The following is a 27,968-nucleotide window of genomic DNA, read 5'->3' as shown; positions in this document are numbered from 1 at the left end:
AGGGCAAGGCATTGAACCCTCCAGAACTCGTTCCCCTCATTGCAGATGGCAGCAGTAAGACCACTGCACTTGGGTGAGGGTCACTCATAAAAAGGGCAGAAGTAAACATCACCTATGAAAGTATTGTTCTTATATGATAGCACTAAATGTACTCAAATTGCTACTTTAATACAAAGGTTCCTATGGCAATATTAAATGTGAATCTGATCTGTTTTAATGTTTAAAGCTCAATAACTCTCCTTGGTTAGAGAATCAGATAATTAGTTTTGGTTGGTGATATGGTTTGGCCCTGTGTCCCCCCCCCCTCCCCATATCTCATCTTGTAGCTCCCATAATTCCCATGTGTTGTGGGAGGGAACCGGTGGGAGATTATTGAATCATGGGGATGAATCTTTCCTGTGCTGTTCTCATGATAGTGAATAAGTCTCACGAGGTCTGACGGTTTTAAAAATGGGAGTTTCCCTGCACAAGATCTCTCTTTGCCTGCTGCCATTCATGTAAGATGTGACTTGCTCCTCCTTACCTCCTGCCATGATTGTGAGGCCTTCCCACCCATGTGGAACTGTAAGTCTATTAAACCTCTTTTTCTTCCCAGTCTTGGATATGTCTTTATCAGCAGCGTGAAAATGGACTAATACAGTAAATTGGTACCAGGAGTGGGTTGTGCGGAAAAGATACCCAAAAATGTGGAAGTGACTTTGGAACTGGGTTACAGGCAGATGTTGGAACAGTTTGGAGGGCTCAGAAGAAGAGAGGAAAATGAGGGAAAGTGTGGAACTTCCTAGAGACTTGGTGAATGGCTTTGACCAAAATGCTGATAATGATATGGACAATAAAGTCCAGGCTGAGGTGGTCTCAGACAGAGATGAAGAACTTGTTGGGAACTGGAGCAAAGGTGACTCTTGTCATGTTATGTTTTAGTAAAGAGACTGGTGGCATTTTGCCCCTGCCTTAGAGGTCTGTGGAACTTTGAACTTGAGAGAGATGATTTAGGGTAACTGGTGGAAGAAATTTCTAAGCAGCAAAGAATTCAAGAGATAACCTGGGTGCTGTTAAAGGCATTCAGTTTTGTTTTTTTTTTTTTTTGTCAGTAAATACTTTATTCATTTCTCTGTTGATTTTTTTTCCTCATTACAAAACAGCACTGTATACAGCTGTGCATTTTCTGGTTACATGGAAGTGGAATTATTTGGTAAATGTGCATATTCAACATGAATAAAAATGAACAATTTGCTTTCCAGGGTAGTATTTTAAATTTATACTCCCATATTCCACCAGCAGTGCTTGAGAGTTATTGTTTATCAGCATTTCCTAATGTGAAATCGGAGTTTTTCTAAATGAGATTTTTGGCTATTTGGAGATTTTCCCACTTTCCTTGGAATGGTCTATTCAGATTCTCTACAGTTTTTATTTTATGAGATTTGATTTGTAAATATTCTTTATATATTTGAGTTTTAACTTTTTGTCAGTATGTGACAAATATATTCTGTCACCTTGTGGGTTTGTTTTTAACTGTTCGTGATATCTTTGGATGTGCAAAATTTTAATAATGTTGGATTTATATTTTTTATAGTTTTTGAATGCTGCCTTTTCATAAAGGAGTTATCTGACTTCCACTTTCCCCAGGAGCTGCAGGCATCAATTTGGCAAGTTTACTTAGCGCTGGTGTACTTGGTGACGGCCTTGGTGCCCTCGGACACGGCGTGCTTGGCCAACTCCCCGGGCAGCAGCAGGCGCACGGCCGTCTGGATCTCCCTGGAGGTGATGGTCGAGCGCTTGTTGTAATGCGGCAGGCGGGAAGCCTCACCTGCGATGCGTTCGAAGATGTCGTTGACGAAGGAGTTCATGATTCCCATGGCCTTAGAGGAGATGCCGGTGTCGGGGTGGACCTGCTTCAGCACCTTGTACACGTATACGGAGTAGCTCTCCTTGCGGCTGCGCTTGCGCTTCCTGCCGTCCTTCTTCTGCGCCTTAGTCACGGCTTTCTTCGAGCCCTTCTTGGGCGCGGGAGCGGACTTCGCTGGCTCCGGCATGTTGAAGGCGAACTACGAGCCTGAGACGAGCAGCAGATCGTGAAAACGGGAAGTAATGCAAGGCATTCAGTTTTATAAGGGAAGTGGTTTGGAAAATTTGCAGCCTGACAATGCGATTGAAAAGAAAATCCTGTTTTCTGAGGAGAAATTCAGACTGGCTAAAGAAATTTGCATAAGTAACAAGGAGCTGAATGTTAAGCCCTAAGACAGTGGAGAAAATGTCTCCAGCCATGTCACAGACTTTTGTGGCAGCCCATCCCATCATAGGCCTAGAGGCCTAGGAGGAAAAAGTGGTTTCATGGGCCAGGCCCAGGGTCCCTGTGCTTTGTGCAGCCTAGGGACTTGGTGCCCTGTGTCCCTGTCACTCCAACCATGGCTGAAAGGGGCCAACATAGTGCTCAGGTCCTGCTTCAGAAGGTGCAAGCCTCAAGCCTTGGGAGCTTCCATGTGGTATTGAGCCTGTCAGTGCACAGAAGTCAAAAATTGGGTTTTGGGAACCTCTGCCAAGAGTTTAGAGGATGTATGGAAATGCCTGGTTGTCTAGGCAGAAGTTTACTGCAGGGATGGGGCTCTCATGGAGAACCTCTGCTAGGGCAGTGCAGAAAGGAAATGTGGGGTTGGAGCCCCCACACAGAGTCCCTACTGGGGCACCACCTAGGGGAGCTGTGAGAAGAGGGCCACCGTCCTCCAGACCCCAGAATGGTAGATCCGCTGACAGCTTGCACCGTGCACCTGGAAAAGCCGAAGACCCTCAATGCCAGCCCATGAAAGCAGCCAGGAGAGGGGCTATACCTTGCAAAGCCACAGGGGTGGAGCTACCCAAGGCCATGGGAGCCCACCTCTTACATCAGCGTGACCTGGATGTGAGACATGGAATCAAAGGAGATTGTTTTGGAACTTTAAGATTTGACTGCCCTGCTGGATTTTGGACTCGCATGGGGCCTGTAGCCCCTCTGTTTTGGCCAATTTCTCCCATTCAGAATGGCTATATTTACCCAATTCCTGTATCCCCATTGTATCTAGGAAGTAACTACCTTACTTTTGATTTTATAGGCTCATAGGCAGAAGGGACTTGCCTTGTCTCAGATGAGAGTTTGGATTGTGACTTTTGAGTTAATGCTGAATGAGTTAAGACTTTAGGGGACTGTTGGGAAGGTATTATTGGTTTTGAAATGTGAAGACATGAGATTTGGGAGGGGCCAGGGGCTGAATGATATGGTTTGGCTCTGTGTCCCCACTCAAATCTCATCTTGTAGTTCCCACAGTTCCCATGTGTTCTGGGAGGGACCTGGTGGGAGATAATTGAATCATGGGGGTGAATCTTTCCTGTGCTGTTCTCGTGATAGTGAATAAGTCTTATGAGATCTGATGGTTTTAAAAATGGAAACTTCCATGCACAAGCTCTCTCTTTGCCTGCCGCCATCCATGTAAGATGTGACTTGTTCCTCCTTACCTTCCACCATGATTGTGAGGCCTCCCTAGCCATGTGAAACTGTAAGTCCATTAAACCTCTTTTTCTTCCCAGTCTTAGATATGTCTTTATCAGCAACGTGAAAATGGACTAATACAGTTGGTTTATAAAACTAGTTTTAAAAAATTCAATGGGATGTTTTTCTTGGCCCATTTAATTTTTTCTTCTTTACTGCAGAGAAGTAATTGTAGAGATGTCCTTCATGTTGTTTCCAGAGTAACACACATTGACATTTATATGTAAGAGCTGGTGGGTACTGTAATCATCTGAGAGAAATGATCAGATGTCGGTGTAGGGCAAGGGCAGCTGCCGTCAGAAGAAACAACACCATGAAAGGCCAAAAAGATTTATGAAGAACTTGACAGAAATAAGAGATTTTTAAAAATGCTCGCTGGTCACTTGGAACAAATAGCAGTGTACAAGGCATGATTTGAATGACTACTTAGATTGTAGTTGAGAACATCTGTGGCTTTCAGGATATTTTAAAATTACAGTTTGATGCTCAAGGCACCTATTTCTTTAGCTTAAAGGAAAAGGATCTGCAAAGAGCAGAGGAAAACCAAGTAGATTTTATTGCTTGGCTGAGTGTGCTGCGGCAGATGACATGTAGCTTATTTCGAAGATATGTTTGGCATTATTTATTTTTAGAATTTACCTGATATCAGATCTTAGTCTACTAGACAGTGTGGGAGCACGCATTGACAGACAGCCTGGGCTGGCACACCCCATGAACATAGTCCCTGATGCAGGGTATGGACAGCAACTCCTACTTGACTGGGAAACTCCAGGCATTTCACGTGCATTAGGCCTCACTGTGATGCAGGCACATCTCAATGGGTCCAGCCAACCCTGCTCACCACAGTGGTATGTGTTCAGGTGCAATGTCAGCTGGGAGTGTACACAGCACTGGTTTGGATCTGTGAGGGTTACCACCTTGCATACTGTGTGACAGAACTTGAAATTTGCCGAGAAGGCAAGACTTAAATGAACTAGATTCAGACAGTACAAAGTACTTGATGAGGTGATGGTGGTGATCGTGAGCAGTTCTCAGTGCTTCCTCTGTGTTGAGCCCTATTGTGAGCACTTTCCATGCATTAACTTGCCAGCCCTGCCAGGTCAGTGCTGATTCACCCAGGGAGCAAGTGGCAGAGCAGGATGTGAGCCCAGGCCATGAGGATCCTGGTAGAGCCAGGAATCGGAGTGGATGTGTCAGTAAGGGTTAGGGTGGGTAGGCAGAAGTTGCTGAACCCTATTGCCGAGTTCATGGGTCTGGGAGAACACGAGTTCAGTTGACCAGGAGATATGGGAAGGACTTTGGCAAATGTTTCTTTTTCTTTCTCTTTTCTTCTCTCTGTCCTCCCCTTCCATCATCCTTCTCTTCCTTTATTCTTCCCTTCATTCTGTTCTCAGGCTTTTTTATATATAATATTTTATATATTTATGGGGTGATATGTGATATTTTATTGCACACATAGAATATATACTGATCAGGCTGATCAAGTCAGGGTATTTGGAGTATCCATCACCTTGAGTATTATTTATATGTATTGAGAACATTTCACATACTTCTAGCTACTTTGAAATACAGTATACATTGTTGTTAACTATCATCACCCTACTCTACTCTCAAACATTAGTACTTACACCTTCTATCTGACTGTGTTTGTATTGACCAACCTCTCTCATCCCCACTTCAACCCACAGACCCTTCCCAGCCTCTGCTATCAGTCACTCTACTCTCAACCTTCATGAGATCCACTTTTTAGTTTCCACATATGAGTGAGAACATGCAAAATTTGTCTTTCTGTGTCTGGCTTATTTCGCTTAATGACCTGCAGTTCTATCCATGTTGCTGCAAATGACATAATTTCATTCTTTTCTAAGCCTGAACAGTATTCCACTGTGTATATATACCACATTTTCTTTATCCATTCACCTGTTGACAGACATTTGTAGGTTGATTTTGTCTCTTGTCTATTAGGAACAGTGCTGCAATAAACATGGGGGTATCCCTTTGATATATTGATTACTTTTCCTTTGGATAAATATCCAGAAGTGGAATTGCTAGATCACGTGGTAGTTCTATTTCTAGTTTCTTGAGAAATCTCCATACTGTTTTCTGTAGTGGCTATTCTAATTTACATGCCTATCAACAATGTGTAAAAGTTCCCTTTTCTCCACATCCTCGCCAGCATCTGTTTTTTGTCTTTTTAGTGATAGCCATTCTAACTGGGTAAGATGATATCTCATTGTGATTTCAGTTTGCATTTCCCTGATGATTAGTGGTTTTTTTTTGTATACTTATTGACCATTTGTATGGCTTATTTTGAGGAATATCTGTTCAAATCTTTTGCTCACTTTTTAATGGGATTATTTGTTCTTTTATTTGAGTTGTTTGAGTTCCTTTTAGATAGATCCCCTTGTCAGAGGAATAGTTTGCAAATAGTTTCTCCCATTCAGCACATTGTCTCTTCATTCTGTTGTTTCTTTTGCTGTGCAGAAGGTTTTTAGTTCAATATAGTCTCATTTGTCTATTTTTGTTTGTTGTCTGTGCTTTCAAGGTCTTAGCTATAAAATATTTGCCTGTACCAAATGTCCTGAAGTGTATTCCCTATATTTTCTTCTAGTAGTTTTTAGTTTTGGGTCTAACATTTAAGCTTCAATCCATCTTGAGTTGCTTTTTAAATATTTGGTGAGAGATAGGGATCGAATTTCATTCTTCTGCATATGGATATCCAATTTTCCCAGCACCATTTATCAAAGAGACTGTCCTTCCCCCAAGGTATATTCTTGCACCTCTGTTGTAAATACGTGGATTTATTTCTAGATTCTGGATTCTGTTCCATTGGTGTGTGTGTCTGTTTTTATACCAGTACCATGCTGTTTCGGTTACTAAAGCTTTGTAATCTGTTTTGAAGTCAGGTAATATGATGCCTCTTGCTTTTTTCTTTTTCTTTTCTTTTTTCTTTTTTTTTGCTCACAATTGCATTGGCTATTTGGATTCTTTTGGTTCCATGCAAATTTTAAGATTTTTTTTCAATTTCTGTGAAAAATGACATTGGTATTTTGATAGAGATTGCGTTGAATCTGTAGATGGCTTTGGGCAGTATGATTATTTTGAGGCTATTAATTCTTCCAGTCTTTGAACATGGGATGTCTTTTTGTTTATGTCCTGTTTAATTTCTTTCTTCTGTGTTTTGTCATTTTCCTTGTAGAGATCTTTCGCCTCCTAGGATAAATTTATTCCTAGGTATTTTAATTTTTTGGTAGCTGTTGTAAATGCGACTTCATTCTTTATTTCTTTCTCAGCTTGTTCATTGTTGGTGTATAGAAACACTGTTGATTTTTGTATATTGATTTTGTATCCTGCAGCTTCACTGGATTTATCAGTTCTAACAGTTTTTTGGTGGACTCTAGATTTTTCTAGGTAGAAGATCATATCTTTAGCAAAGAAGGACAGTTTGACTTCTTCTTTTCCAATTTTGCTGCCTTTTATTTATTTATCTTGTCTGATTGCTCTGGCTAGGTCTTCCAGTACTATGTTGGATAGGAGTGGTGAAAGTGGGCATCTTGTCTTGTTGCAGTTCTTGGCTGAAAGGATTTCAGCATTTCTCATTTAGTATGATGTTAGCTGTGGATTTGTCACACGTGGCCTTTATTTTGTTGAGGTATATTCCTTCTATCCTTAGTTTTTTTAAGGTTTTTATCATAAAAGGATGTTGAATTTTACCAAATGCTTTTTTAGCATCTGTTGAATGATCATATGGTTTTGTCGTTTGTTCTGTTGATGTAATGTATCATGTTTATTGATTTGCATATGTTGAACCATCCTTGAATCCCTGGGATAAGTTAAGTTCCATTTGATAATGATGTGTTATTTTTCTGATGTGCCGTTGGATTTAGTTTGCTAGTATTTTGCTGAGAATTTCTAAGTCTATATTCATTAGGAATGTTAGCCTATAATTGTCTTTTCTTTTCTTTTTTTTTTTGTGTTGTTGTTGTTTGAGATGGAGTCTTGCTCTGTCACCCAGGCTGGAGTGTAGTGGCGTGATCTCGGCTCACTGCAACCTCTGCCTCCCAGGTTCAAGCAATTCTTCTGCCTCAGCCTTCCAAGTAGCTGGGATTACAGATGCATGCCACCATGCCTGGCTAATTTTTGTATTTTTAGTAGAGACGGGGTTTCACCATGTTGGCCAGGCTGGTCTTGAATTCCTGACCTCATGATCCACCCACCTCGGCCTCCCAAAGTGTTGGGATTACAGGTGTGAGCCACTGCACCTGGCCTAGCATATACTTTTCTTTTTTTGTTGCATCCGTGTCTGGTTTTACTATCAGGATAATGCTGACTTCATAGAGTGATTTAGGGAGAATCCCTTTCTCTTCAATTTTTTGGAATAGTTTTAGGAGAATTGGTGTTAATTCTTTGAAAGTTTGGTAGAAGTTTGGTAGTGAAGCCATCCAGTCTTGGACTTCACTGGGAGACTTTTTATTACTGATTCAATTTCATTTCTTGTTATTGCTCTGTTCAGGTATTCTATTTCTTCCTGATTCAATCTAGTAGATTGTATGTGTGTAGGAATTTATCCATTTCCTCTAGGTTTTCTAGGTAGTTAGTGTATAGTTGTTCATAATAGTCTCTGGTGATCTTTTGTATTTCCATGGTATCAGTTGTAATGTCTCCTTTTTAATTTCTGATTTTGTTTGTGTCTTCTCTTGGTTAGTCTAGGAAGTGCTTTATCAATTTTATCTTGTCAAAAAAACAACTTTTTATTTCGTTGATCCTTTGTGGTTTTTTTTTTCTCTGATCTTTATTACTTGTTTCTTTCTACTAATTTTGGGTTTGGTTGGTTTTTGTTTTTCCAGTACCTCGAGGTGCACTGCTAGATTATTTATTTGAAATCATTCTACTTTTTCTGATGTAGGCATTTGTTACTATAAACTTCCATCTTAGCATTGCTTTTGCTGTATCCCATTTGGTTTTGGTATGTTTTTCAGTTTTCATTTGTTTTCAAGACTTTTTAAAAATTTCCTCCTTAATTTCTTTCTTGGCTCAGTGGTCAGTCAGGAGCATATTGTTTAATTTTCATGCATTCGTAGTTTCCAAAGTTCCTCTTGTTATTGATTTTGAGTTACATTCCACTGTGGCCTGAAAAGATACTTGAATGATTTTGATTTTTAAAAATTTGTTGTTGCTTGTTTTGTGTCCTAACATGTGGTCTATCTTGGAGAATGTTCTGTGTGCTAATGAGAAGAATGTGTGTTCTGTAACTGTTGTATGAAATAGTTCTGTAACGTCTGCTAGGCTTATTTGGTCTAATGTGCAGTTTCAATCCAATATTTCTTTGTTAATTTTTTGTCTGAGTGATCCAATGCCGAGAGTGGGGTGTTGAAGTCTTCAACTATTATTGTATTGCATTCTGTCTCTCCCTTTAGATCTAATAGTACTTGCTTTATCTAGTGCTCTGGTGTTGGGTGCTCTGGCGTTGGGTGCATATATGTTTGGAATTGTTATATCCTTTTGCTGAATTGATACTTTTATCATTATATAATGACCTTCTTTTGTCTCTTTTTACAGTTTTTGACTTAAAATCTGTTTTATCTGACATAAATAAAGCTACCCCTGCTTGCTTTTTGTTTCCATTTGCATGGGATATCTTTTCTTGTCCCTTTATTTTAGTCTATATGTGTCTTTACAGGTGAGATGAATTTTGTGTAGGCAGCATGTAGTTGGGTCATGTTTTTTTTTTTTTTTTTTTTAATTCATTGAGCCAGTCTGTATCTTTTGAGTGGAAAATTTAATCCATTTACATTCAAGGCTATTATTGATATGTGAGGTTTACCTCTGTCATTTTATTACTTGATTTCTGATTGTTTTGTATATCCTTTGTTTCATTCTTTCTCTCTTGTTGTTTATTATTGTGGTTTGGTGGTGATCTGTAGTGGTAACATTTAAGTTTTTTCTTTTTTTCTGTGTTTGCTCTACCAGTGGTTTTTATATTTTCATATGTTTTCATGATTATAGTTACTGTTCTTTCACTTCTGGGTGTAGGACTTCCTTAAGCATTTTTTACAGGACTGGTCTAGTGGTGATGAATTCCCTCAGCTTTTGCTTGTCCAAGAAATACTTCATCTGTCCTTTATTTATAAAGGATACTTTTGCTGCAAATAGTATCCTTGAATGGCAGTTTTTTTTCTCTTTCAGCACTTTGAATGTATCATCACATTCTCTCCTGGCTTGTAAGGTTTCTGCTGAGAAATCCGTTAGTCTGATGAGGGTTCCTTTGTGGGTGACTAGATGCTTTTCTTTTGCTGTTTCTAAATTTTTCTCTTTGTATTTGACTTTTGACAGTTTGACTGTAATGTACTGTGGAGAGGATCTTTTTGAATTTTATCTATTTGGGGATCATTGAGACTCTTGTATCTAGATGTCTAAATCTCTTTCTAGACTTGGGAAGTTTTCATCTATTGTTAAATAAGTTTCTGTTTGCTTTTTCTTTACCTTCTGGGACACCAAAAATTTGAATATTTGATTTATGATGTCCTATATGTTACAAAGCCTTTGCTGATTCTTTTTAATTCTTTTTTTTTTTTTTTTTAATCTTTGTCTCTCTGGGTTATTTCAAATGGTCTGCCTTCAAGTTTTGAGATTTTTTTCCTTTGGCTTCTCTAGTTATTATTGAAGCTTTTGAATTTGTTTTGTATTTCATTCAATGAATTTTTCAGTTACAGAATTTCTGTTTGGCTCTTCTTTATGATACCTGGTAAGGTTCGGCTATGTCTGCACCCAAATCTCATCTTCAATTGTAGTTCCCATAATCCTTACATGTCTTGGGCGGGACCTGGTGGGAGGTAATTGAATCGTGGGGGCAGTGACCCCCATGCTGTTCTCGTGATAGTGAGTGAGTCCTCACAAGATCTGATGTTTTTATGAGGGGCTTTTCCCCCTTTGCTGAGCACTTCTTCCTGCCTCTGTGTGAAGAAGAATGTGTTTGCTTCACCTTCTGCCATGATTGTAAGTTTCTTGAGGCCTCCTCAGCCATGCTGAACTATGAGTCAATTAAACCTCTTTCAGTTAAACCTCTTTCCTTTATAAATCACCCAGTCTTGGGTATGTCTTTATTAGCAGCGTGAGAAAGGACCAATACAATATCCATCTCTTGGATCAAATTTCTCATTCTTATCCTGAATTGCTTTTTAAATTCCTTTGTATTTTTCAGCATTCTCCTGTATGCTATTGAACTTCCTTACTATCAATATTTTGAATTATTTTCCTGGTATTCCATAAATTTCTTTTTGATTGGAATCTGTTGCTGGAGAATTGTTTTCTTTAGGAGATGTCATATTTTCTTGCTTTTTCATGTTTCCTGTACCCTTGCATTAGTATCTCTGTGGTATAATGGTCATTTCTTCTAAGTTTTTTGAATTTACTTTCGTAGGAGAGGACATTTTCCCGAAGATGTATCTGTGGTATTGGTAGGTAGGGCACTTTGGTTTTGAATCTGGGTGTGTGCAGTAGTGTAGTCTCTGTATGATTTCTTTGGCTGTAAACAGCATTAATGATATCTATGATTTTCTTAATGGCTTAGGGTATGGTTGTTAGTGGAGGCTGTGGTGAAATTTTGCTGTTGACCTGGGTGCCAGGTAGGCCAGTCTTTTGGCCCCAGTGGTGGCAGTGGTGGACTGAGCATGCCTGTCCTCAGGCCCCAGGGTGGTGTACACTGGCACCAGTGTTAGTAGGTCCAGGCAGGCCAGTTCTTGGGCCTCCAGGTGGCTTCTTTGGGTACTAGGAATGGCAGTGGTGGGTTGGGTGGGTGGGTGGGTTCCTGAGCCCCTGAGCAGCAGGTGTGGTGTGGTTGATGGCAACAGCAGTTGTGGTGTGGGTGATGGCAACAGCAGTGGTGGGACAGCCCTTTGGGGTCTTCATCTCTGGTAGCTTATGCTGGGCTGTTTTCCAAAGTGCTGATGTTTGTGACGGCTGTGACAGGTTGGGTGGGCTGGTCCTTGGACCTGCAGGTGGCACATATGGGTGGGTCGCAGCGGTGGTGGTAGCAGCAAGCTGAGTGGGCCTGACCCACTCTGGGAGACTCTGCTGAGATGCTACTGGTGATCCCCAGGCCCCTGGACAGTGTGATCTGGTTCTAGGGAGGGATGGTGGAGGCAGGCTGGCTGGACCTGCCCTCAGGTCCCTTGGTGGGGAGTGTAGTTATTGGCTGTGGTAAGTAGCATCGAGGTGATTCCTAGGCCTCCCGTGGAATGCTCAGGTAGGGGTGGCCAGAGTTTCATTGTGTCCCTGCTACTGGGGAGGGCAGGGTTTCTTTCCCTGGGAGCAGCTGTAGTCAGGCACCTAGGGGGCATGGGCTTTGATTGCACCTCACCTCAGGCCTGCAGCAGCTCATAGTGGTAGCAGTTGCAGGTAGTCGACTTTGACCTTGGAGCTCATGAAAATACATGGCTACCCATCTGCAGGGATGGTGTGGGGGATCACTCCCTGTGGCTCCCACCTCCACCCTGGTGGCGGGGCAGGCTGCAGTTCATTGGGGGTTGTACTCTCCAAGTGGTGCCATGCCACAGCAGCTTAGGATTTGGGGGGTTGTGGCACCCAGCGTGGGCTCTCTGTGGAGCAGTGCCTTTGTACAGTCTTCAGGCAGCTCTCCGCAGTAGTCTTGGGGTCCTCTAGAATTGAAGGACTCTCCCAGGGCTGTGGATTGTAGAAGTCCACAGCAGCAATGTGAACTGCTGGGAAGGGTCTTTCACTTACCCTTTCCCCCAATTAGGGAGCCACTGCTGACTCCCAGTTGATCCCAGCCTAGCAAGCTGCCTTGGTTTTCTTTCCTTCCTTGCTTTTGGTGTTTCTGAATGTTTCTTTGTTGAATTCCAAAGTTCTCTCTTAGGTTATCTATTTGAAGTGTGATTACTTGCTATTTTGGTTCTTCTCTGTGGAAGAGGTGAGCACCAGATCTGTCTAGTCAGCCATCTTGAAGCCTCAAAACCCTTTTTTTTTTTTTTTTGGACACAGAGTATCACTCTGTTGCTCAGGCTAGAGTGCAGTGGTGCAATCTCAGCTCACTGCAACCCCCTCCTCTCAGGTTCAAGCGATTCTTCTGCCTCAGCCTCCCCAGTAGCTGGGATTACAGGCGTGTGCCACCACGCCCAACTAATTTTTGTGTTTTTACTAGAGACAAGGTTTTGCCATGGTGGCCAGGCTGGTCTCGAACTCCTGACTTCAAGTGAAACACCTGCCTCGGCCTCCCAAAGTCCTGGGATTACAGACATAAGCCACCATGCCTGGTCTCAAAACATTTTTAATGAGAAGCACAGCATACCTAGAGAAAAGTACAGAAACATAAAAGTGAAGCTCAGAGAATAATTACAAAGGAACATTTGTTCACCACCACCCAGGGTGAGAAATGGCATGTTGCCTGCACCCAGGAAATGCGTGTGCTTCTTCCTCATCACTACCCACTCCCATTTTCCCATTTTTGAACATTATATAAATGAAACCATACTTTGATGTTGGCTTTTTCATTGAGCACTTTGCTAGTGAGGTCCATCGTGCTGTTGCATGTAGCTGTGGTTCATTTTCACTGCCACCTCGTAGGGTTTCTCAGCACTGCTGACGTTTCAGGCTTAATGATGCTCTGCTGTGGGGCTGCCCTGTTCACTGTAGGGATTTTAGCAGTCTTCCTGGTCTTTACCCACCAGATACCAATAGTGTCTCCCACTTGTGACAATCAAAAATGTTTCCAGATGTTCAGATTGCCCTCTGGGATGGCAAAATGCCCCTCGCCCTGGTTGAGAACCACTGCTCTATAGTACAGGTTGAATATCCCTTATTTGAAATGCTTGGGACAGGAAGTGTTTCAGATTTCAGATTGTTTTGGATTTTGGAATATTTGCATATCCATAATGAGATACCTTGGGGATAGGACCCAAGTCTAAACATGTTCATATGTATTTCATATACCTGTGATAGACATAGCCCGAAGGTAATTTTATATAGTACTTTTAGTAATTTTGTACATGAAACAAAATTTGTGTATGTTGAACCATCAGAAAGTAAAGGTGTCACTCTCTGAGCCGCCCATGTAGACATTCTGTGGTTGTTTGCATCACCATCATTCCTGACTCTGAATTTATAAGTGGCTGACAAGCAGTCATTTTCTCTCACTTATGCACACCTAAGTATTTAACAGTATTTACTGGCCCTCCATGGGGCAATGTGGGGAACCTGCCCTTGGTGCACTGGCCTGCACACACACCATTTTATTACCTTTGTGGGTGTGCTTGCATTGGGGAATCCGGGCCTGCATGGAAAAGACATCGCAGCCAAAGGGACCTGAACGGTCTCTTTTCCCTTGGTGACTCTGAATAAACTGTGTGTTGTGTGCCTGCCTTTTGATTGTAACCTGTCGTGTGAAGTCAGGTGTGGAATTTTTCACTTGTGTCATCATGTTGGCACTCAAAAAGTTTCCAACTTTGGAGCACTTTGGGTTTTGGATTTTCAGATTGATGATGCTCAACCTGTATTCTATTGTATGAATTTACCAGTTTAGTTATCCATTTTACTATTGATGCACATTTGGATTATTTCTAGTTATTGGCCTTTACAAATAGTACTTCTCTAACATTCTTGTACTTGTCGTTTGGTAAAGGACATGTGCATGTTTTCCTGTTGCGTTTATCTTTAGGAATGGAAGTTTGGGATCTATAGAAGTGCATGTCTTCACCTCTAGTAGTTTATGCTGGGCTGTTTTGCAAAGTGGTTATATCAGGTGTGAACATTTACCAACAGCAAAGGAGCGTTCTGGTTGCTTTTCTTTCTTGGAAACACCTGGTATTGTCAGAGATCTTCATTGTAGCCATTCTGTGGGGATGGAGGGCTGGCTCATTGTGGTTTTAATTTGCATTGTTTTTATGAGTTCTGAAGTGGAGCACCTTTTCCTGTGTTTACTGGCCATTTGGATATCCATTTTTGTCACAACCTATTCAGAGCTCTTGCCTTTTTTTCTTTTAGGTTGTCTGAATTTGTATATTCTGGATACAGAATCTTTTTTGATTTTATTAAAGTTGCGCATTTATTTTACCACTCCATGTCTTGCTTTATTTCTCTTAATGGTATGTTTTGATGAACAGAAGTTCCTGATTTGAATGTACTCTGAGTGCTTAATGTATCCTGTTAAGAAAATGTCTGCTTACCTCAAGGTCATGAATATATCTGCCTATATTTTCTCCTCGGTTTCTCTTTTTGCCTTTTGCATTTATCTTTGGGCATGCTCTGTGATAGGGGTCAAGTTAAGCGTTCCCCAGGGTTCTCACAGACCCAGCACTGACTGCGGAGGGCACTGTGCTTTCCCCACTCTCCTCGGTGCCCACACGTGTGTGGGGTCTGTGTCTGTGCTCTCCATTGCACTCGGCCAGTCTCCCATCCTGCAGTGCTACATTGCCTCTTGTCAAGATGGATAAGTTTTTGATACCTAGAACGAACATTGTTTTTCTTCAAAAAATGCCTTCACTATTATTGTCTCCTTTCCATATAAATTTTAGAATCTGCCTGTCAAATTCCACAAAGGACACCGTGTTGATTTTGATGGAAATTTCATGGAATCTGTAGATCAGTTTGGAAGAATTGACGTTTTTAGAGTGTTGAGACCTCCAGTACATGACATGATACATTTCTTCACTGCTTAGGGCCGTCTTTCTCTCAACAGGGTATTGTAGTTTTCTGAATGGAGGTCTTCAATATCTTTAATCAGATTTACACTTAGTAGTAGTCCTCCTTCTTTCTAATTACATAATTAGAAACAGTGTCTATCACTAAACATCACTAATTCACTCACCACTACGTGCCAGGTCCTGTTCTAGGCACTGAGGCCACAGCAGCAAGCCAGACAGCCCCAAGTCCTTGCCTTCATGGAGCTAGCCAGTGAGGAGAGACAGCAGCGCCAGTAAAGCAGCGCAGGGCACTGTGGACTCTGTGATATTTAATGCCATGGAGGGTAAAGGGCGGGAGACCTGAGAGGGGTAGCTTTTGTGTTTTAATTTTAGAGTGGTCATGGAAGACCACTGAGCGGTTGACATCCACACGAAGATCTGAAAGAAGAGGGAAGTGAGCTCTTTTTTTTAAGGCAATTTTATAACTTTATTTGATGTATTTGATGATCAGCTGTTAGTTCTCATCCACATTGACTGTCTATAGATTTTTGAAAGCAGTAACGGGTACATAAGTAATCAAAGTATAGAGTTTATTTGGTGAATCTTCATTCTCTTTACATTTTCTGGACAACCGCACACGGATGCGGTATGGGATATTCCTTATTCCTTTGGTCCAGACAGCTTTGTTGAGCCTGGTATCAATGCACATATCTGGAGTTCCCATCTCCTTCATGGCAAATTTCCAAATCTCTTTGAGTGCCTGAGGGGCACGCTTCTTGAAGGCCACTCTGTGGATGTGCTGTGAATGTTGATGGCGTATCTCAGGTCACCACCTTGTTGATGGTAGAACGGCCCTTTTTCTTCTCGCCACCCTTTGTAGGAGCCATTCTGCCAGGCCCAAGTTGGAAAGGAAGCGAAGCAAGCTCTTAGGGTGTCTGGGAAGGCACGTTCCAGCCAGAGGGATCAACATGTACAAGCGCCCGAGGTGGGGTGTGTTAGCAGAGCCAGAGGCCCATGTGGCAGGCATGGGGTGTTGGAGGAGAGCATGGGGGTGGGGTGAGGCTTTAGTTTGTGTAATTTGGAAATTACTGTTTATGGAATGCCTACTATCTACCAAGTGTGATAGACAGTTTTGCTGGTATCTCCTCCTTTATTTAGTCTTTATAATAGTGGTGTAGAGAATTTAAAACCAGTTTATAGATGAGAAAACAAAGGCCTAGCAAGGTGACATGGCTTTGCCGAGGGGCTGCTGGTGAGTGACTCCAGAGTCTGTGTTTGCGCCTCCACATGGTGCTGCACACTCAGTGTGCCTCATGTGTTATTATAGTTTATGCATTTAATGTGTGAGTTTTAGAAAAACAGACAATTAGCAGATAAGTAAAGATAGATTTGTTTATTGTCATTTGAAGGTGTGGTTGACAATAGGGCCCTGTGAGCATGTGCCTGAGGAGCCCACCAGCAAGTACCAAGGAGCCAGCATAGCTGTCAGGGTGTCCTCCAGGCCGAGTTTGGTGAGTTTTCTTTGTGTTAGCATGAGTGCCCATGTCTGAGAAATGTGGCACTGGGAAATCAATGCCTGCGACAAGAGCTATCACAAGGGCATGTGGAGCTAGGGTGTCTCAGTGCCATCTCCTTGTTCTCAGTTAGCTGTGACTTAACTCTGAGTGCCATTTTGTTTTTCCCTCCCTTCCCCTTCCCACTGGGTGTGAGCGTGGGACATATGAAAACCCTCTTACCATTGTGGGGAACTAGTGTCCTGAGGGACCCAGTTTGGGAAACATTGAGCTACCTTGATGTTGACAGTGAGTGTGACATGGAGAATAGGAAGGGGCGGTGAAGAGAAGTATGGGCAAGGAGGGAGTTTGTAGACCTTGCTTCCTATCAGACAGATGCCCGTGCCTGGTGGAGCCTTCTTTCTAAGGAACCTAAGTCAGCGTGCACCAGCTTTAGGATAAGATGTTTCAGTTTGGCTGTGTGTATAAAGAAATGGGATTTTAAAGTTCCTCATCATTTTATTGAAGCATGGTTACATCTTTACCTCTCATTCTGAGTTTTCTCCCCAAATCCCTGCAGAGAGTAGGGAAGAATGTTGCCTGCCAGTAATGATAACCAGTCATTGCCCAGCAGTACATCCTCTGTCCAGTGGCTGGGCCTGCAGTGGATGCCTGTGAATTGAACTGGCACAGCTGGTAGACTCAGTTGCTTCTCAGCTGTTCAGCGTGGATTGGTGCAGTTATTTAAGCCTAGCCACAGGCACAGTTCCTGCCAGATGCTGCTGCTGCTGATAGATGTGACTGAGTGGCCGTATGCTTACCAGAAGCATTTGTCCATGGCAGAGACCTGTGACTTGAGACCTTCCAGCTGGAGGCCATCAGCCAGGGGAGCTTTCCGAGTGCCTGGTTGAGATTGTTTCAGTGTTCAGAGTTGTTGGTGGCCCTCTTGTTACGCTGGCTGCTCCAGGTCACCAGCGTAGATTCTCTGCCCCATACTCCTTCCCACTCACAAATGGTTTAATGAGCGAGCACATTAACAAAAAAAATCTGTCTACTGTTGGGAGGAAACGTGGTGAGATACAGGCAGGGTTTTCATGTCCATCCAAGCTCTTGATAGAACTTTGTGAGGAGAAAATAGCCCCAGAATGTCAAGAGGGGACTAAACTGAGAAACTGTAGAAGAAACCAAGCAGAATGTAATTTTATTTATTTTCATTTGCCAGAGCTTTAATAGTGAAATAGTGCTTTATTGGGGTTTGTTTTCTGTGTGGCTCCATTCCTGTGATTTTCAAGAATAAGCAGAACTAATCTAGGGTGGTAGAAACCAGAGCATCAGTCACTTATGGGTTGGGCTGCCTAGAAGGGACAGGAGGGCATGAGGGAGCTTCATGGCAGGGGGAGAGACACACTGTATCTTGACAGAGCGATGTTTTTTGTGGTGCATGCATTTCTGTTAGACCTTAATTTTACTCATAAGATTTATGCAGTTTACCCTATGTAAATTTTAACCTTATTTTGACATCCAGATTTTTTTTTTTTGAGACAGCCTTGCTCTGTCACCCAGGCTGGAGTGCAGTGGCATGATCTCAGCTCACTGCAACCTCCACCTCCCAGGTTCCAGCAATTCTCCCACCTCAGCCTCCAGAGTAGCTGGGACTACAGGTGCCCAGCTAATTTTTGTATTTTTGGTAGAGATGGGTTTCACCATGTTGGCCAGGCTGGTCTCAAACTCCTGACCTCAGGTGATCTGCCCACCTCAGCCTCCCAAAGTGCTGTGATTACAGGAGTGAGCTACCATGCCTGGCCCCACTTTATAGAAAAGTTGGAAAAATAGTAGCAAGTAACTCTCACCCAGCTTCCCCTAATGTTAGCATCTTACATAACCATAGAACAGTTACCAAAACCACAAAATTAACATTGGTATGATATTTTTAGATAATCTTTAGCTCTTGTTAGAATTTTTCTATTTTTCTCACATCATTTTTCTAAAAATGGCTTTATTGAGATATAATTTGCATGCTGTAAAGTTCATTCATAATACACAATTCAGTGGTTTTTAGTATGTTCACAGAGTTGTGCAAGCATTACCATTGTCTAATTTTAGAATATTTTCATTGCCACCAATAGAAACCCCCATACCTATTAGCAGTGACTCCATCCCTGGCAATGACTAATCTGCTTTCTGTCACTATGGATTTGCCTATTATGAACATTTTATAAAATTAGTGTTGTACAGTATGTGGCTTTTTGTGTCTGGCTTAGTGTGTTTTCAGAATTCATCTATGTTGTATCATGTGTCAGTACACCATTCATTTTTATGACCTAATATCCCATTATGTGTATATACGACATTTTGTTCGCCCATTCATCATTTGATGGACGTTGGGTTATTTCCACTTTTTGGATGTTATGAATCATGCTGCTAGATTAACATTCCTATACAAGATTTTGTGTGGTCTAGCCATTCTTGTAGAGTAGTGTGATAGTCTGTTTTTTTTTTTGTTGTTGTTTTTTTTTGCTCAGGATTGCTTCAGCTATTTGGAGTCTTTTGTACTTCCATTATGAATTTCAGGATTGTTTTTTCTGTTTTTTTTTTTTTTTTGTGAAGAATGTCATTGGTATTTTGGCAAGGATTGCATTGATTCTGTAGATTGCTTTTGGTAGTATGGTCATTTTTACAATATTTATTGTTCTAGTTTATGAACATGGGATGTCTTTCCATTTGTTTGTGTCTTCAGTTTCTTTCATCGGTGTTTTATAGTTTTTCTTTTTGAGATCTTTTACTTCATGTTTAAATTTGGTTAAATTTATTCCTAAATATTTTTTGTAGCTATTGTAAATGGGATTGCCTCACTGATTTATTTTTGAGATTGTGTTATTGGTGTATAGAAATGCTGCTGAATTTTGCATGTTGATTTTTGTGTTCAGCAACTTTCTTTATTGAATTCATTTATTTTAACAATTTTTGGTGGACCTTTTAGAGTTTTCTGTGTATACAATAATGTTGTCTGTAAACAGGGACAATTTGACTTCCTCTTTTCCAATTTGGATGCCCTTTATTTATTTTTTTCTTGCCTAATTGCTCTAGCTGGGACTTACAGTACTATCTTGAATAGGAGTGGTGATGGTGGGAATCTTTGTCTTATTCCAGATCTTAGAAGAAAAGCTTTCAGCTTTTCCCTGTTCATTATGATGTTGGCTATGGGTTTGTCATATATGGCCTCTATTGTGTTGCTTCTGTACCTAAGTTATTAAGAGTTTTTGTCATAAAGCGATGCCAGATGGTATTAAATGCTTTTTCTTTATCTGTTGAGATGACCATATGGTTTTTGCACTTAATTCTATTAATATGTTGTATAATATCTGTTGATTTGCATGTGGTGAACCATGCTTGCATCTCTGGCATAAATCTTTTTTGATCATGGTGAATGATCTGTGTAATATGCTGCTGTATTTGGTTTGCTAGTGTTTTGTTGAGAATTTTTGCATCCGTGTTTATCATGGATGTTGGCCTGTTGTTTTTGTTGTTGTGTCCTTATCTGGTTTTGGTATCAAGGTAATGTTGGCCTTATAGCATAAGTTTGGAAGAAGTCCTTCCTCCTCAATTTTCTGGAAGAGTTTGAGAAGAATTGGTATCAGTTCTTTAAATGCATGGTAGAATTCTACAGTGAAGCCATCCCATTCTGGGCTTTTCTTTAACAGATTGAATCTTGTTACTTGTAACTGGTCTCTTCAGGTTTCTGTGTCTTCTTTGTTCTTCTTGGTCGGTTGTATGTGTCTGGGAAGTTATCCATTTCCCCTAGGTTTTCTAATTTGTTGGAATAGAGTTCTTTTTAATAGCCTCTCATGATCCTTTCTATTTATGTAATATCAGTTGTTATGTCTCCTTTTTCATTTCTGATTTTATTGATTTGGGTCTTTTCTCTTTTTCTTGGTTCCTCTAGCTAATGGTTTTTGATTTTTGTTTAACTTTTCAAAAAACCAACTTTTTGTTTTGTTGATATTTTGTATTGCTTTTTACTCTTAATTTTGTTTTGTTTTTGAGACATGGTCTTGTTGTCACTCAGGCTGGAGTGCAGCGGTACAATCACTGCTTACAGCAGCCTTGACCTGCTGGGGCCAAGCAATCCTCCCACCTTAGCCTCCTGAGTAGCTTGCATTATAGGCACACGCTGCCACACCTGACAAGTGGGTGTTTTTGTTTGTTTGGTAGAGACGGGGTCTCGCTTTGTTACCCGGGCTCGTCTTGAATACCTGGGCTCAGGTGAGTCTCCCATCACCGCTTTCCAGAGTGCTGTGATTACAGGCATGAGCCATCACATCTGGCCTTAATTTTATTTATTTCTTCTCTGATCTTTATTATTTCTTTCCCTGTACTAGTTTGGGGTTTGGTTTGTTCTTGCTTTTGTATTTCCTTGAAATACATTATTAGCTTATTTATTTAAAATCTTTCCACTTTTCTGATGTAGACATTTATTGCTCTAAATTTCCCTCTTAGCACTGCTTTTGCTATATCCTATTGGTTTTGATATATTGTGTTTTGATTTTCATTTGTTTCAATTAATTTTAAAATTTTCCTCTTGATTTTGTTGTTGACTCATTGATTGTTCAGGAGCAGGTTGTTTAATTCACACATACTTGCCCAATTTTGAAAGTTCCTTATTGTTGATTTCTAGTTTTATTCCACTGTGGTCAAAAAAGATACTTGCTATAATTTTAATTATTTTAGATTTGTTGAGACTTGTTTTGTGTCCTAACATGGTCCACCCTGGAAAAGGTTTTGTGTGCTGATAAGAAGAAAGTGTATTCTGTAGCTGTTGGATGAAATGTTCTGTAAACATCTGTTAGGTCCATTTGGTCTAATGTGTGGTTAAAGCCAAAGTTTCCTTGTTAATTTTATGTCTAGGTGATCTGTTCCATGTTGAGAGTGGGGTGTTTAAATTTTTAACTATTATCATATTGGAGTCTATCTCTCCCTTTAGATCTAATAACATTTGCTTTATATATCTGGGTGCTGTAGTGTTGGGTGCATATATGTTCAGAATTGTTATATCCTCTTGCTGAATTGATCTTTTTAACATTATATAATGACCTTCTTTATAGTTTTTGACATAAAATCTATTTTAACTGATATAAATAAAGCTACCCCTGCTTGCTTTTGGTGTTCATTTGTGTGGAATATCTTTTCTTTATCCCTTTGCTTTCAGTCTATATGTGTCTTTACAAATGACATGAGTTACATGTAGGCAATATGTAGTTTGCTTTTCACTGGGGTCTGTTACTAGAGAGTTAATATTTTTTCAAATTAATTCAGCTAGTCTATGTCTTTTAAGTGGGGGAATCTAATCTGTTTACATTTAATTTTATTAGTGATAGGTAAGGACTTACTCCTGTCATTTTGTTGTTTTGCAGTTGTTTTGTATAGTCTTTGTTTCCTTCTTCCTATCTTGTTTTTTATCATTGAGGTTTAGTGAGGTTTTTTAATGATAAGGCTTGATTCTTTTCTCTTTCTCCCTTGTGTATCTGCTGTACCAGTATGTTTTATACTTTTGTGGGTTTTTAAGAGAGTGTTTATCATCTTTTCACTTCCAGATGTAGGATTTCCTTGAGCATTTCTTGTAAGGCCAGTCTAGTAGTGACGAATTCCTTTAAGTTTTTGCTTGTCTGGGAAAGACGTTATGTCTCCCTCATTTCTGAAGGATAACTTTGCTGGGTATAATAATCTTGGCTGCCAATTTTATTCTGCCATCATTTTGAATATTACATCACATTTTCTTCTGGGCTGTAAGGTTTTTGTGGAGAATTTTATGCTAGTCTAATGAAGATTCCTTTGTATGTGACTTGATGCTTTTATCTTGCTGCTTTTATAATTTTATCTTTGTGTTTGATTTTTGACAATTTGGCTACAGTGTGCCTGGGGAATAATTTTTTTTGGTTGAATCTATTTAAGGACCTTTAAACTTCCTGGACCTGGATGTCCATATGTCTTCCCAGACTTTTGAAGTTTTTGGCTATTATTTAAGTAGGATTTCTATACCTCTTCCCTTATCTCTCTTCTCCTTCTATAATTCTCATTATATGAAATTCATTTGCTTAATAGTGTCCCATAAGTCTTGCAGACTTTCTTCACTCTTTTTCATTCTTATTTCTTTCTTTCTCCCCTCTGAGTGGGCAGTTTCAAATGACCTGTCTTCATATTCAGAGATTCTTTCTTCTGCTTGATCAAGTCTGCTGTTGAAGCTCTCTATTGTATTTTAAATGTAATTCATTGAATTCTTCAGCTTCAGGATTTGTTTAGTTCTTTCTTATGATTTCTGACTTTTTGTTGAATTTCTTGTTTGGATCATGAATTCCAGATTTTGTTGAATTGTCTATATGTATTTTCTTGTGTCTCATTGAGTTTCCTTAAGATCATTTGGAATTTTTCTTTTTGGCAGTTCACTGATTTTCTCTTTGATGGGGTCTTCTATTCCTAGAAAGTTATTATGTTCCTTTGGTGGTGTCCTATTTCCTTGCTTTTTGATGTTTCTTGTGTCCCTGCATTGATGTCTGTACATATGGTGGAATAATTGCCTTTTCCAGATTTTCTAGCATGGCTTTTGTAGAGAGAGACTTTTACCTGAAATTGGGTTTTAGTGTGCCATTTAGGAAAGGTGTAGTGACTGTTGCTGGTTAGGTGCAGTGGTATAGTCTCCATGAACCTTTTTCAGCTGTGTTCAGTGTTAGCCTCAGTGGCCCAGGCTATAGAAGTTTGTTACAGTGGTGGTGACAGTGTAAGTTGTTAATGTCCTTGGTATCAAGGGCTTTTGGGGTCCTCCTGGTCTCATTTTCCTTGCAATGGGGAGACTTAGCTGAGGGGAATTCCTTTGATGTCTGCTCTGACATGGCCTACAAGCAGCTGCCATGGTGCTGGGTTCCAGGTGTAGGTGCTTGTAATGGTTGCAGGGCTGGGTTGCGACCCCTATTGTGGCATGTGGGTCTTGGGGTACAGGTTTGCTCTCTTATGGCAGGGTTGGATTTAGGTGGCCCTCAGAGCCAGGATCTGTGACTCTGAGGCACCCTCTAGCAGCTCGGGCCCAGGGGGCCAGGTTGTAACTGTGATTCTACCCCAGGGGGTGGGGCAGGGTACAGCACTGGCGGAACTCTGAGGAAGAAGGGGTGCTCTGGGGGCTTGGGCCTGGGGAGCCAGGGTATGGCTGCAGTTCCGGAACCGGAGCCAACAGGGCTCAGTGGCAGCTCCGGTCCCAGGGGATGTGACACTGTGTAATAATGACTCAAGACCCTGGGATGGTGGGGCTTGTAAGTATCCCAGACTCTGTGAGGCCATGTGTGGCAGGAGAACGTACCCCAGAATGACAGAGCACACCTGTCACTGGGGCCCTGAGGAGGGTGGGAAGCAGCGTATCCATGACTCCACTCTGCAGGGAGAGAGGTGTCTCAGCAGCTCAGACTGGGGTGGGGGGCTAGTTCAGCTCTAGGGAAGCAGGCAGTTGAGTTGTTTGGCCTGTAAGGTGGGATGTCTGGGCTCAGCTACTGCTCTGTTTCTCTGGGATGTAGGGCACTGCATCAGCTCAGCCCTGGGATGTGCAGCTGCTCAGCTCAGCCAGGGCACTGATTCCCCTTGCGGTGGTGTGTCGCTTCCACTCAGGCCTGAGGGACGGGACTGTCCTGGGTGGCCCAGGCATTTCCCTGGATGCAGAGTGCTTCTTCAACTTGGGTTCCAGGAGGCATGACTGCTCTGAGCAGCCAAGGTATTGTTTTCCCTGGAGGCCGTTTATGGCTTTAGCTCCAGCCTGAGGGGGCAAGAGCGGGTAGTGGAGTGGCCCCACCTTTGCTTGGCCCCACAGAGGAGGTGTAACAGCTGCCTGCAGCTTGGCTGGGGGATGTGGGGCCACTGGGCTGGGGTGGTTGGGCAGCGGCTTAGCTTCAGGGGTGAAGGGGAGCTGGGGCTGCTACCCCAGGAACAAGATACACTCCAGCAGTAGTTCCAGTTCCAAGAGGGCACCGTGAGGGCCACGGGGGCAGGCACAGTGTCGATTCCTTCTCCGGCGGGAGCACAGTGGTGTGGCCTCCAGGCAGCTCACTCCACCCTGGGCTTCGTGCCTGTGAGGACTGCAAGGGACCCCAAGGGTGAGGGCGGTGGGTGTCCACGGTGTTGGTGGGGGCTGCTGGGGTCCTCTTGATTACCTCCTCACTGAAGGGAGGTGTTTTCCTGGGTTCTAGCTGACCCTGGTTAGGGGATGGGGTGCCAGGGGCCCGGCATTTCCTTCTGTTCTTTTTGTGACTATCATGAATTTCTGGGCTCGCCAGGGTTTCTGTTACTCCTCTAATGCACTTTAGCACTCTCCCTCAGTTGTTTTTGTTAACATGTAGTTGTGTATTCATTGTTCTGGCTGTCTCTGTGAGGGGGTTGAATGCTAGGCACTTCTAGCTGGCTATCTTGATAATGTTACCCAGAATGGGTAGTTTCTGTCGTCCTATCTTCCAATTTACTGATTTTTTTTTTTTTTTTTTGCCTCTGTCCCCTCCATTCTGTCTTCACCAAGATTTTAATTTCAGTTATTTTATTTTTTCTGTTTTAATTTTTCCATTTTGGTTTTCTTTATATGTTGTTTTTTTCTCATTGGTTTCTAGCACAGTTGCTCACTAAAGAAATTTTTTGATGGCCGATTTAAAACCACCATAAATCATATCAGATAATTTGAACATCTGTGTCATCTTTCTGCTGATGTCAGGCAATTTTCTTTTTCATTTAAGTTGCCTCATGTGTCTTTAAACCCAAAGTTCAGCCATGACTATCGTAAATGTTCTCAGTCTCAAGTAATGAGGCTTTTCATGATTAGACCTGAGCTCTGTGTTATTCTTCTACCTATGTTGTGAGCAGAGTTTTGGTGCGTTATCAGCCATTCACATTCTTTTCGTCTGTGTTCCCCTCAAAGGCTGTCACCCTGCTGTAGTGTTTTCCTTATGATGACGTCCTCATGAAGTTGTTCCATGTTTTCCTTAGGATGATGTCCTCATGAGGTTGTTCCATTTGGGTTGTGCCCTTGACAGCATTTGTCTCATGGATAAAGTGGCCTGTTTTATTTTACCCTTTCAGGGGGCTCACATAGCTATCTCTTCAGCTTGACTAGTGATGCAATTTGTCCAGAAATTTCCTTATCATTTGTGTCCCTTGTATCCCATCAGCCTTAGCCACATAAAATAAATCCTTTCCATTCATTTAGCAAATATTTACTGAGCCCTTACTGTAAGGTGGTGAACAACACAGCCAATGTTCTGCTTTCATGAAGCTTTCAGACTAAGGAAGAACACTTATTCCTATTTCATAGAATAACTATTATTGAGAGAACTAAAATAGGTTAATGGGCTTGACAATGAGTGGGCGATAAGGGATGGCCTCTGTGAGGAGAGAATATGTAAGCTGAAATGTGATTCTTTTCTGGAATTTCCATTTCTGTTTATATTATACATCTGTTCTTTCATATTTCTACTTTGCCATTAGAATTTGTTATATATTGAATTGTGTTCTCCCCCTCCCCACCCCCCATTTATATGTTGAGGTTCTAACCCTCAGTCTCTCAGAATGTTAATGTATTTAGAGATAGGGACTTTTCATTAGAGTAAAATTGGGCCATTAGGGTGGACCCTAGTCCAGTGAGACTGGTGTCTTTATAAGAAGAGAAGATGAAGATACATGGAGAAACCCCAGGGGCCTGTGTGCACAGAGGGATGACCACATGAAGAGGCAGCAAGAGGGTGGCGTCTGCAAGCCAAGGAGGGAGGTCTCAGAGGAAAGCAGGCCTGCTGAGAACTTGATCTCAGACTTCCAGCCTCTAGAGACTGTGAGAAAATAAATTCATGTTGTTAAGCCACCCAGTTTGTGGTATTTTGTTATGGCAGGCTGGGCAAACTAATACAAAGCCATTAGCATATTAATCATAGATATTCTGAATTCCCTATCTGATACTTCTAAAATCTGTCATCTGTGCAGCTGGTTCTGATGCTTGGTTTGTCTCGTCAGACTGTGATTTTTCTTTCCTTTTAGAATGCCTTGCAATTTTTGGTTGAAAGCTGGACATGATTTATTGTGTAATGGGGACTGAGGAAAATAGGCCTTTAGCGTGAGGTGTTTTGGTAATCTGGCTAGGAGTTGGGCTGTGTTTACTGTAGGGGACAGAGGCTTTATACTCTTCTAGCATCCTTGTTTATTCTCCCCTCTTCCCTTTGGGTTTCCCTAAGAATTCCTCCTTAGATGGAATTGATGTCTTTCAGCTCTCTCAGCTATAATACCGTTTTAAAAATCCCTGTTGCGTGTTATGCTCTCTCATCTCTGTTGGTATGATTTAAGGTGTGTGTGGAGAGGAGAAGTATTTATCATCTCAATCTTTTAGTGGGCCTGTGTCTCTGGGCTTTGGTCTTCAAAAGTGTTTCTTAACCCCCTCCCCTGCTTAGGTAAGTCAGGGATGGCAGAGAGGCCTGGAGTGGGAGAAAAGCCCTTCCCTTTAGGTGAGATAAGGCTCTGGTGAGGTCTTTCCCTGGAAACAGGGTGTATTCATAATGGCTACTCTTCCTGTCCCCCTGCCAGAGCCACGAGGGAGCTTTCTTCGCACTTTGAGAACCTCATGGGGTTCCTAGAGACAAAATCCACAAAAATATGGGGCCCCCCTAAGACTGCGACCCCCAGGAGTTCCTGATTCTCATGGTTGTCCACCCTCAGCTTCCAACAATTTGTCATTTAAATGTTCCCACCGGTATGGCTACAGCAGCTTTTCCTCCAGGGAAGCAGATCTTGTTGTGACTCTCCAGATTTCATGGTGGCCTTAATTCTTTGATGGGTCCAAGAAAAGTCATTGATTTGTTTGTTCTGCTTTTCTTAGTGAAGGATGGAAGTGCTGATTTCTAAGCTCTTTGCATTGTTGACAAAAAGTGTCAAACTCTGTAAAATATTTGAAGGGATTTATTCTGAGCTAATTATGAGTGACCATAATGAGGGCCTGTGACACGGCCCTCAGGAAGTCCTGAGAACATTCAGCTCAAGGTGGTTGAGGTACAGCTTGGTTTAATGTATTTTAGGAAGGCATGAGACATCAATCAAATATGTTTAAGAATTACGTTGGTTTAGTTTAGAAAGGTGGACAACCCAAAGCAGGGGCTTTCAAGTGATAGGTAAATTTAAACATTTTCTGGGTGACAACTGGTTGAGGTTGTCTGAAGACCTAGGATCAATGGAAAGGAATGTTCAGGTTAAAGATAAAGGATTGCGGAGACCAAGTTTTATTGTGCAGAGGAAGCCCGTAGATAGCAGACTTCAGAGAGA

General features: G+C 41.7%; 2 protein-coding genes and 1 pseudogene across 18 annotated transcripts in view; 1 reads left to right on the top strand and 2 right to left on the bottom strand.

Moving 5' to 3' along the window:
• Positions 1-27,968, top strand: part of HSF2BP (heat shock transcription factor 2 binding protein) — a 214,517-nt gene that overhangs the window by 92,217 nt on the left and 94,332 nt on the right. The window lies entirely within an intron of this gene.
• On the bottom strand, positions 1,624-2,090 carry H2BC12L (H2B clustered histone 12 like). Its single transcript, NM_017445.3, has one exon. It carries the CDS (start codon positions 2,031-2,033, stop codon positions 1,653-1,655), a length of 381 nt encoding a protein of 126 aa, NP_059141.1. The 5' UTR covers positions 2,034-2,090; the 3' UTR covers positions 1,624-1,652.
• RPL31P1 (ribosomal protein L31 pseudogene 1) lies at positions 15,701-16,075 on the bottom strand (annotated as a pseudogene).

This window comes from Homo sapiens, chromosome 21 (assembly GCF_000001405.40).
Source record: "Homo sapiens chromosome 21, GRCh38.p14 Primary Assembly".
NCBI lineage: Eukaryota > Metazoa > Chordata > Mammalia > Primates > Hominidae > Homo > Homo sapiens.
This window is presented reverse-complemented; position numbering and strand designations above follow the sequence as displayed.

What these genes read in the sequence shown, in the direction of transcription:
- H2BC12L (NM_017445.3), bottom strand. Translation starts at nt 2,033, where the DNA reads ATGCCGGAGCCAGCGAAGTCCGCTCCCGCGCCCAAGAAGGGCTCGAAG.